We start from the raw sequence: 12,399 nt of genomic DNA, 5'->3' as shown, positions 1-12,399 counted from the left end.
CACACAAATCTTTGCTTTCTTGCTTCAACTAAATAGGCTGACCTTTTTTCACTGGCTTAGGAAGACATTGGCAACATTTAACCTAAACAGTATACATTATTTACTTTCAATACAAATGAAACTTGAAACTTCACCCACATCAGCTAAGGTTTAATTCTCTGAGATGGGATAAGCAGAGACTATTTAGCACCTCGAATCACTCAAACTTGAAAAATATTGCAGTATGTTAACTGCTCATATATTTAAGCTTAGTTTTTGCAGGATTAGGGTTAGGGTTAGGGTTTTGGGTAGAGGAGTAACATGATATGCTTTATGTAATTAAAGGATTGCTTTGGTTGTATAGAGAACATACTATAGAGGACAAGGGAAAGAGCAGGGATAGTGGTGAGAAGCTACTGTAATAATCCAGGTGAGACTTGATAGTGGCTGGGACCACAGTATAGCAGTAAAAATGGCTGCACGCAGAGTTTGAAGGTGGAGTCGACATAATTTTAGATGACTTGGTTATCATGTGAGACAGAAAGAAAAGCATCAAGACTGTCTCCAAGGTGTTTAGTATGAATGAGTGGAAGAAAAAAGTTACCATTAACCAAGAAGGGAAAGAACATATGTGGAGAAGGCTTTGGAAGAGATCATAAGTCCAATCTTGACATGTCAGGTTAAGGAAGTCTACTTGAGATCCAAGTGGTGACATCTAAAAGGCATCTTGACACATGTGAAAAAGGCCTGCACCGAAAATAAATATTTGAAAATAATGGGCACTTAGGTAGTATTTAGAGCCACAAGACTAGATAATATTACCTAAAGAATGAATAAAAATAGCAAAGATACCTAGGGCCCCCCAATATTAATGCCAAACAAAATTCTTAATTATCCCCAAACTCTGCCTTCTATTTTACAAGAGGCAATGCATTATTTCTTTCTGTAACTGCACATGCAGAAAACTTTAACAGAAAATAAAATAACATTTTTTTTCTGAATTTATATGCAAGTTGCCACTACGAAACAGCTAAAGCTGGTATTTTCATCTTGGTCCCCAGGAAGCAGAACTTAAGATAAGAACTTGGACATAGATATCTGATTTGGGAGACGACTCCTAAAAGAAGGTGTAAAATATAAAAATAAGTTATTCAAAATCTAAGCTGTTGGAACTCTAAATTATTTTGAACCTTAAAGGAATGTGATTATGGGGTCCAAGTCACATAACTGGCAGCTATAACCTTTGTATCTTTGATTATAGATTAGTCTTATTCCTTACCTACATTGTTTTGTAAAATGTTGCAAGTGACTAAAAGGCACCAGAAAAGATCACCTTCCTCTTCATTGTTGATCTTAATGATCTTTATGATAGATTAACTTCCCTCCTACTAATATCTTTCTCACACAAAGACTTCATGACTATCACATTGTCATAAGATGGAATGTTAAATACAGTTTTGTAAACTGGAAAGAAAATGAAAACCAGCTGTAAAGAAAGGAAATTAAGCCAGATGGAAAAGAAAACAAATTATAACTAATTAAATTGTTGTAACTCATAAATCAACTTTTTATAGAAAATACTGCAATCCTATTAAATTTATTTGTTTTCTTCCAATAAGAAAGACATTTAACTTTTAACTTCATAGCACTGACCACAGTTCTCTGGCGTCCGTGTTTCCCAGCTGGCTATTCCCAGCTTTTTGCTTGAATAAACTCTTTTAAACTGAAATCTGATCCTTTCAACTATTTCAGGTTGACCAAAGGTAGAGTGATAGAAGGAGATCAGATATAGTAAGACAAGGAAGAAAGAAAAGGTAATAAAAGGTAGATTACTGAGTTGGATATTACTGTGGGCAAATGGGGGATCAATCCTGCTGGGATCCCTCTAAAAACTGTATACAATGCCCTTCAGATCTGACTTTCCAGAAGATGGAAGGCTGGAATATTTATGCAGCAACTACCAATCCTTTTGTTTGACAGTTATCCCAGGAAACTTCCATTTCACCACACTTCTGGGCAAGGGCTGAGCAAGCTTAGAGGGCTTCAGAGACAGCCCTGAGGCAGAAAAGAAAATAAATTCTGTGGGCACTTGAAGTTGGCTACTGGCAGCATGTTCAGTAATAGTAACTGTCTACTGTAGCTATAATCTAAGGTGAGTCAACAGTATGTGATGCAGGGCATGAAAAGCTTGTATCATAGCTTCCACGTTCCAAAGTGAGCTGTCTCTGGCAGCATTCATATAGAATAGAATTTGAATGGTGCACCCAGATTTGAACAACATGGTAATCATGTGATGGACATGGAAAAGTGAACTAACTTGGGATCTTGTAGGTCACTAAGATAACTCTAATCATGATGTTAAAGGCTTTCCTTTACATTCACAAAACAATTTACTTCCTAGAAGTAGTTTATTCTTGCCTGTGGTCATTTTTGCTCCTTTATAATACTACATCTAAATCAATTTGTTAAATATAGTAGAGAATGAAATAAATTTCTTCCAGTTAAACCACTGCACTTAAAGAGTAGAACCCTCTCTATGTCACTCTTTGTTTTGTTGATCATAACTCAACTGCTGTATGGTGGGATACTCTAAGATCTGGGCTAATCAAACTACCCAAGCAGGGCTTTTAACATCTGGAGGCCCAATAAGCTGACATCATCACCAAAAGAACAACCTTAATGTCATGCTAGCAAAAAAAAAAAAAAAAAAAAAAAAAAAAAAGGAAATTGTTTCTCTTGTCAGATTTTGCCAAATTCAACTAATAATTACAGAATATTGTCAAACTAAGCCATTATGAAACATTCTAAACAGTTGGGCTTAGGATCAGCCATTTATTTCTTTTTCATAACATATATCCTACAGTTAAAAAAAAGTATCTTTTGCAATTAAAAATGCAGTACATTCTTTTAGAAATGTCTTTGTGTGGGTTAAATTTATATAATTAATGAAAAATTAGTCTCCCTTCTCTTACTAGAAAATGTTATTTCTAAATTGGACTTAGATATCATTTCTGCATTATAATAGAAATATATATATCTTTTTACTAATCCAATGTTATCGTTCATCTATCTTTCCTAATAATGGTCTCTTCTACATTGATGTAATTTATTATTCACATAAATTAAGGTTCTTTCATAGCGATTGCAATGTTCTCCAATTTTGATTCACTGGGAAGACTGAGTTACTTGTCTAGATTCAACCTTTCGAAATAGAGAATCGGGGGTAGAATTTTGGAACATATGAATTGCAGACAGTATGCTGAATAGTCCACATGTGCTGTCCAAAGGTGGACTTCAGTGTACTTCCTTTGTGCCATCATGGTCTGGAGATCCACATCAACATGGAGAGCTTTCCATGACTGATATACTCTGTCTCTGCTCAGTTCTCTCCTAAAGCCACATGCCATTGTGATTTTCTTTACTTGCCTGTTTTATTCTATTCTGCTTACTGCTAGAGTTCCACAAATCTATATGGTATGTGAAAAGAAACTGTGAGCCCTCTAAGAATAGGACAATGGTTTTATATCTTTATTTTCCCACCTATATTAAAATTACAAAAGACTCAAAATACTGGGCCATAAAATACAATCATGAATGCAGGACATAGAAAAAGCCTATACACTTTATTATCTTCCTCAAGTAGGAGAGATATCATAGTTAACAGGTATTCTATCTACTGAATTAGTAGCAACTAGACATAAGGTTGAAAACTGAATGTAACTCAAAACGATTCTATGGGAAATAAATCGTTGGTTAAATATTTCAATATTCATGTATAAAAGGCAACTTGTTGGAAAATAAATTATGAGCACATTTTATTCTTTGTGCTCAGAAATACCATGAGATCAATTCACAAATGGCAAACAGTAACATGCTATCATGAAAAACTGCCTCTTTAACAATGTATTTAACTTCATTTGACTATCAAAATTCATGAGGTTCTAAAAGGAACACAAAGTTGTAAAAGAGAGAGAAAGCAAAACCAAAAGTCAAGAGACCTGATTTCTAAAGCTCAAAAAGCAACTAAAGTTAAACACAGAGCTTTTGATATTGAGTGTTCCCTTTAGTACTCAAAGCACAATTTAATAATCTTCTAGTTCTAAAAATAGTTTGCTGATTTATGCTGAAGTTCTCTATCTAGGAAAAGAGAACATATGCAGCTAGTAGAAATCATACTACTACTACATAATAAGAAGCTCTATTTAATGGTATCTTAAGCTTATGATTGTTTAAAAGTTTACATTCTTTGAGATAGGGGCCATGATTTATAGATGTATCTCTTTATACACTTAGCACCTCAGCAGTTTATACATATTGGATACTCAATAAACAATTGTTACTGATGAAAGTGCTCTCTCAAAAGAATAAATTAACTGATCTATAATACAGATGCTTAGTTGAAAATAATATTCAACTCACCACTTCATTGTTCATGCTCTCAAACCATGTATGCTTAAGAAATTTAATTAAAGTAGTATTTTTCAAGGTGCTGGAAACAAACTAGAAAAACACATTAAGAATATGAGTTAGCACAGCTGACTTTGGCACCTATGGGCAAATCTGTTTGATGAAACCATGTTGCATCAAAATTTGATTTGGAAATCTCAGTTCTGAGCAACTAGAAACACATCCTCCATGCACAGAATGCCAATCTGCCTTGCTGAAATCTAAAAACCCTTGAAGATGAGACTTAGAACTTTCAGATAAAACAAATACTTCCTGAAGACAAATGGAAAATGTATAAAGCTATATAGCTTTGGCAGTAGCAGCTGTTTAGTTTCCTATATGAGTGTTGCCTTGAGAAAAAACATAAAGAAGGACATTGGGAGAAGGTTACAGTAGCATTTACAGGCCATCTGAGGAATCTAAAACGTTCACCTGTAATTGTAAGCCTGCCAAAATAAATTGTGACAATTTGTGAACAGTATGTTAACTTATTTGCTTGCCTTAATTTTATTTCATTGACAAGAAAAAAACATAAAACTTCTAGATATTTTTGTATAAATATAGTCTTATATTTATAGAAACTAGTAAAAGTATAAACCTTAGAATGGTTAAGCAAACCACAGTGCATTTATTCAATGGAATTCTATGTAACTATTAAAATTATGTTCAAGAAAACTATGTATATTTTAAATAAATATAATTCCAAATTTTTAGAAAGATGATATATACAGACATTTGCCTACAAACTATAAACTGAAGAGAATTAAATGAAAAATAGACTTTGAATGGTCTTTAAAATTCTACTTTGTATACATTCCAAAGTTTATTGAATGAGTATATAATATTTTTATATTAAAATAATTTAAAGCCATGTCTCTTTTGATAGCAATAAATTCACTTTGGTAAGTGAATTTTAGCTCCAAATCACAAATATCTAATTAACCCACCAAAGCTACAATTATTGAAATATTTAAGTCCTTTGAATTTAAACAGATATTCTGAAAGTTAGATTTTGTAATTTATAACTGTGATATCATTTAAATTTTACAGAAAATCTACAAGAATAGTAGAAATAAATCCAATATATTCTTTACCCAGATTCATCAATTATTTACATTCTGCTGTATTTACTTTACCATTCATATTGTCTTGATAGATGTTTATAAATTTAAACATATACTATTCTTCCTGAACCATGTGAGTATAGGATGGAGATTCTATATCCCTTTACCCATAGACACTTCAGCTAGCATGTCCTATGAAAAGGGCATCCTTGCACAAAACCACATTACAGTTATCAAAGTTGGAAATTTAATACTGATACAATATTATCATCTAATACATAGCCCATATTCAAATTTCATCAATTGCCAGAATAATGTCCTTTGCGGCTACTTTTCTCCATCTAGGGTGAAATCTAGGATCATGCATTGAATTTACTTGCCATGTTTCTTAGCCTCTGATTTGAAACAGTTTCTCAGCATTTCTTTGTTCTTTTCGACTTTGAGATTTTTGGAAAGCACAGACCTGTTATTTTGTAGAATGTCCCTCAGTTTTGATGTGCCTGATATTTCCTCATGATTAGATTCAGATTATTAACTTTTGGCAGGAACACGATAAAAATAATGCTGTGTCCTCAGTGTAACATACCAGGAGGCACAAAGAGTCAGTTTGTCCCAATAATTGATGATGCTACTTTGATTAATTACTTGGGAAGGTGGTGTGCCACCAGTCTGTTCACTGCAGGTTACTTTTTTCTTTGTAAATAGTAATTTGTGGAGAGATACTTAGAGGCAATGTAAACACCTTGTATCTTATCAAAGTTTCTAAATTTGCTAAAAGCCAGGTAGGAATATGTTCTGAATGTTATATTTTATTTTTAAAACATTATGATTTTGTGTAAGAAATGTATTTTTACTTAGGGAAAAAAGAAAACACGGAAGCAAAAAGAAAACAAAAATTACAAATAATTCTACCATGCAAAGAAAATTGTCACTATTATGTTGGTAAGTGAAGTTTCAGACATTCTTCCTACCACACTGAGCTAATTAATAGTCAAATTTCCCTGCCAGAGGTCTTTAATATTTGGGGAAAGATGATTGTTAATATAAATAAGTCTCTAATTAGCAGTCTAGTAAAGTAAAATAATGCAAATATATAAAATTATGTTAAATAAGAGGAAAAGTCTAATAAATTAGTATTTCAGCTAGTGGAGGAAAAGGAAGATTTTTGGAGGACTGAAGTGTTATATCTCAGTCCACAGCCCATTTTTAGGACAAGTGAAATGAAAGAATCTGAGATCTGGAAATATGTTCAATTCGCATTTTTCATTAGTCCCTACAAATAAGACTAATGAAAAATATATGAAAATTGAGCAAATTACTGAGGCAAAAACATAAGACCGGCAATTGGATGGAGAATCTTTCTTCTACAACTAGAGTAAAACCGATTAGGACTAGGTTCCTATAATACAGTAAAAGCCTAGCTTCAGAATGAGACTACAAGGTTGAAGTCAGACCAGTGGTGAAAGTGACGATGCTATTTATGAGACTGTGGTGTTCAAGCTCTTTTAATCTATTCCGTCTAAGTTTGGAATAGATACTAGAGACTGATACTGAGCTTAGTCTACAGAAAGCAAATGTCCCGACTCCCCAGCCATGAAACAGAGTAGGAAGAGAGTGTGAGACTCAAGCAAAGCAAGAAAACTAAGACTCATCCCAGAGACAAGTCAGCCTTGCTTAACATTTGCTGTAGAGCTCAGCCAGAATCCCTAAACTGTACTGCTTTCAATGAGCTTCCCTTCTTTTTCTTCCAGAACTGCATACTCTTTATGTCTCTAATTACTTTGTTGTCTTTTTTCCTCCCGTCGCATCTTCTCATATCAATAGCACTAGAGTTAGGTAAGTAGAGATTGTCATTTCTGGATATGGGTCACTTGTAAATTTGGATTTGGAAATGTACACAGGCTGAAGTCAATCCAAAAGGCCAAAGAAATAAGAATGAAAGACTGGTACTATATCCACACAAAAGATAAAAGCAGTTTCACTGAAGACAGAATCCATACTAAGATAGATGAACGTGAGGAAGATGAGCTAGTCACAAGCTTGTGTTTCATCAACCTGGAAGGGAACAACCTGGATTTGAAGAGACAGTGAAACATCAGTACTTGGTTATTCTGAAATCCTGCTACTATCCAGATGTCAGATCCTGCTAACTCACATGTGATTACCAATTTCAAGAGCAATGCCAGGAACAAGGTCTCTGGGCTGCCAGCACAATTTCAAATCATGTTATTTGAATACATTCTGTTGGTCTTCACGAGTCATTTGTTTACTGTGGGCCTCGGTCTAAATAAAGATTTTTAAATCACTTCATATTTTAACAGAATTTTTAAGTCATATTTATATTTTCTCTAAGAGATCAGCACCACGTCTTAGCTCCTCTCTCCAAAGGGGCCACAAGACTACAAGAGATTTAGGAATTTGGGGTCTTTTGCTATATTTACAATTATAAATTAAGTAAATTTTATCTTTGCTCTATATCCTTTCTGTTTCTCCCTATTAGGCAACTAATTTCCTCCTATTGTAGAATTCATTCTCCAAAGGTCCTAGCTAAAGTCACTGGTTAACCTAATATAATGAAATATTTGAGATAAGGTGCTAAAGACCAGTGGTGCTTAGGAGCTATCTCTTTACATGCATGATTAATGTTATGTTTTTATATGTGTGTGTATGTGTATTCAATTATTTAACTGTGTATTGACCACTTATTATATGCCATGTACTGTGCTAGCAGTTTTCCATGTTAGCTCATATGTTGGGTCCCTAATGCCTTTCTTACCTTTGGTTCAAGGGCTACATGTGGTCATTCCTTATCTCACAGATACCTCATCAAGAAAGTATAAAAATAACATTCCCTATAACTTGCCTGGATACTATGATGAAGAGGCCTAATAAATTAAAACACAGAAACATGCAATATATTCTCTTATAAGCCTCAAATTAAAAAAATATTGAGTAGTTCTTCGATGATGACCCCGGTGAGTTACAGAGCTCATATTCCTAGTCAGGTTGTTGAACTCTTTCTTTAGGACAAGAAGTGATTAATGTTGGATTTTCATGAAACTTGACAAGGCCATCAGGAAAGATATTTTTGGTCAAAGAGTACTTTACTGCAGTGGTCCCCAACCTTTTTGGCACCAGAGACTGGTTTCACGGAAGACAATTTTTCTATGGACTGAGGTGGAGGGCATGCAGGATGACAGTTTGGGGATGAAACTGCTCCACCTCAGACCATCAGGCATTAGATTCTCATAAGGAGCATGCAACCTAGATCCCTCACAAATGCAGTTCACATTAGGGTTTGCACTTCTATGAGAATCTAATGCCACCACTGATCTGATAGGAGGCAGAGTTTGGGCGTTAATACTGTCTCACTGATATGGTTTGGCTCTGGGTCCCCACCCAAATCTCACCTTGAATTATAATCCCCCAAGTGTTAAGGGCAGGAACAGGTGGAGATAATTAAATCATGAGAGCAGTTTCCCCTATGCCATTCTCATGATAGTGAGTGAGTTCTCATGACATCTGATGGTTTTATAAGGGCCTTCCCCCTTCGCTCGACACTCATTCTTTCTCCTGCCACCCTGTGAAGAGGTGCCTTCCACCACAGTTGTAAGTTTCCTGAAGCCTCTCTAGCCATGTGAAACTGTGAGTCAATTAAATCTCTTTTCTTTATAAATTATTCAGTCTTGACTATTTCTTCATAACAGCATGAAAATGGGCTAATACACTCACCCACTGCTCATCTTCTGCTGTGCGGCCTGGTTCCTAACAGGCCATGAACTGGCACCAGTCTGCAGCTCGAGGGTTGGGGACCCCTGCTTTACTGGCTTCAAATTACAACATGCAGCGACTGTTCTGCTCTGTCAGTGAGGAAGGTTGGTCTTGGCTAAGTATGTGCTGAGGTCAAAGCTGAATCAAAGCTAAACTCAATTATACATCATCTTCCTGAAAAGAGTGGCCTCTCTTTCATGGCTGCAATGGGTATAACATGGGAGTTAGACTTACACAGAGAAGCAGCCTTTTCTTAGAGTGTAGGTCCAGTAAGAAAACACTGGCTTTTAAAATAAGGAAGAAAGTAGGAGTGTGCAAATTAAATAAAGATAAGTTGTTAAAGGTTAACCAGTTTCTCCTGGTAGTGTTATAAGCAAATGGCATAGTCATTCTCTGATTCTACAATATTTAGATGTTTTATTTCAGTCACATAGTGGGAGCTGAGAACAAATGTGGGTAAACCAGATACAAAATACCTTCACAGAACATAAGCTAAAACCTTTTCCCTTAATCTTTCAGTGTTGAATCATATGTTATGTCTGGACCATAAACGTGAAAAATGCCAGAGTAGCTCCGGTGTCGCCATGGTCTGGCACACACACACCAAAAAGCATAATCATCCTTAAAATATATTACCAGGATTGCTATTGTATATTTGCAATTGCTGCATTACAAATGATCAAAAGTTTAGGGGCTTAAGATGTCTGTTTATTATTTCCCTGTTTCTATTGAATAGAAGTCTTGGCACAGTGTAACTGGGTTCTCTGTTTAGGGCCTCACCAGGCTGAAATCAAGGTTTTGGCTAGGCTGCATTCTCATCTGGAGCTCACGGTCCTCTTCTGAGAGTATTCAGGCTGTTGGAAGAATTTACTTCCCTGCAATTGTAGTAGTCGAAGTCCCTGTTTTCTCATGGGCTATTAGTGGGGTTTGCTCTCAGTTCTTAGAGGCTGCTCTCAAGCCCCAACCACGTGGCTCTCTCCCAACAAAGTAGCTTACTTCTTCAAAGCCAGTAGAAGATTCTCTCTCTCCTTCCAGTCTGCTATGATGGAGTCTTAGATAAAATAATATAATCACAAAAGTGACTATATCCTCACTCTCTTATGTTGCTAAATAACAGAACCTAAGCAAGGGAGTGACTATCCCAGCAAATTCATAGATGACACCCACACTTAAGAGGATGTGGAAGCAGAACCTGGGAGGCCACCTTAGAATTCTGCCTACAACAACTCACTCAGAACAAGGACTAAACTCTGAAATATGCGGCGGAGGAGACGGCAAAATGTTTCTCACCTCCAGAACCTACAAGTTAAATGTAAACAGTCTCAAGACCAAGAATAGTGCCTTCTAAGAGAGAGAAAAAGAACTGTATAAAAATCTATAAATGTCTACCAAAATTCCCAGAGGAAGACATTCAGGTCTCAATCTCAATGAACCCTTTGAACTATGCCTCAGTGAAATCCAAATTCCTACACAGATAATAGGGCTGGCAAAGATTTATGGGTAACTATTTAAAAGAGACCTGTACTCTAGTTTTAGCAACTCCCAAACCCTAACTTTCCATGAAACCACCCCTGTTACCACTACAGTCTTTCTTCTTGGGTATTATATCCAATAGCTATAAGGTGATGTGGCAAGAGTTTATTCTCCGGAGAGAGAATAATACTCAATACTTGAATTGTAACACTGACATTTTCTGGAGTAGGAATAAAATAACCAGATGACCAAGTTTCAATTCTGGAATAGAAGCCCTGTATAATCACTTCTGTTTGAATGTGGGTGGATCCGTAAATATGATGGGACATTCTCTCTTTTGGTTGGGCTATGTTATATGCTGAAGTGATAGGAGAGGCACTCCCATGATTATACTCTGTCATTTAAGACTCTGTCTTAGCAGGTGAGGGAGATTCTCCTGGTAGCCTTGAAAAAGGAATCAGCCATGTTGTGAAAGGGTAACGTAGCTAGGTCTTGAGGGAACTTTTAGGAACTAAGAGTGACCCCAGGCTGACATCCAGCCAGAAAATAAGGGCCTCAGGCCTACAAATGCAAGGAACTGAATTCTTCCAACAATCCTAAGGAGCTTTGAAGAGGACCCTGAGCCTCTGAGAAGATCACACCCAAGTGAGACCTTTATTTGCTTTTATTTTTATTTTTTGAAACTATAAATTTCTACATGTAATATTTTATTATTAACTTTATGAAGACATGGCTCTGGTCATGATTGTTTATAGAGGTCAGATAATGCAAATAACAGCAAGTAGACTTGTATTTTTTTGAAGATGATCTCTGCATTGTATTATTATTATTATTGAGACAAGGTCTCACTATGTTGTCCAGGCTGGTTTTGAACTCCTGAGCTCAAGCGATCCTCCCACCTCAGCCACCCAAATTGCTAGGATTACAAGCGTGAGCCACTATACCCAGCCAACATCTTGATTTTAGAGTGGTGAAACCTTGAGTTTAGGACCCAGCTAACCCAGACCTAGGAACCTAACCAATGGGAACCGTATGATAACGAATCTGTGCTGCTTTAAGCTGCTCACTTTATGGTAACTTTTTATGCAGCATTAAAAACATATAAACACCTTGATAAATAAAATAAACTGACAAAATTAGTTTTAGGAACTTTCTGTAGCAGCATCTTTCAATAACTAAATCCCCATTGGTCTTACCAGATAGCTACAATATTTTCAGACTTTTAAAATGTATTAAAAACTAATATATACCTAAGAATATTTTAGGTATATTTTAGTGGTTCTCCAGAGCATTGTAGATGACAAACTAAAACTAAAACTCCTTAAGTGATGAAAGAATGCCAAACCAATGATTATTCAACCATATAACTCCAACAAGGATAAAAGAAAATCTTCGTAATAATAGTATATATGATGTATATACATATATATACATAGAAACAAAGGGCACTTACTCCGAAAGTTGTTCACTGGTAAGACTCCAGGATGATAGAATCCTGCTTTGCAAATGCACTCATAGGCTCCAAGAACGAATCCTAGGCCTTTAATTGGCATACACTATGAAGAAGAAAAGACAGCAACATAGTTGATCATGGCTTATCTCATGGTATAAAGGCTCGCAGATATCCATCATTGCAAATGGTAACAGAAAACTAACACATTTTCCA

General features: G+C 35.7%; 1 protein-coding gene across 2 annotated transcripts in view; it reads right to left on the bottom strand.

Moving 5' to 3' along the window:
* Positions 1 to 12,399, bottom strand: part of GPR158 (G protein-coupled receptor 158) — a 427,229-nt gene that overhangs the window by 194,030 nt on the left and 220,800 nt on the right. For both annotated transcript variants that reach the window (XR_930512.4, NM_020752.3), the window contains exon 3: positions 12,187 to 12,289. Coding sequence is in view for 1 of the 2 variants with exons in the window: in NM_020752.3 (NP_065803.2) it covers positions 12,187 to 12,289 (103 nt within the window). In the remaining variant the exon portion in view is untranslated. The remainder of the gene's footprint in view (positions 1 to 12,186; positions 12,290 to 12,399) is intronic.

Source organism: Homo sapiens, chromosome 10 (assembly GCF_000001405.40).
Source record: "Homo sapiens chromosome 10, GRCh38.p14 Primary Assembly".
NCBI lineage: Eukaryota > Metazoa > Chordata > Mammalia > Primates > Hominidae > Homo > Homo sapiens.
This window is presented reverse-complemented; position numbering and strand designations above follow the sequence as displayed.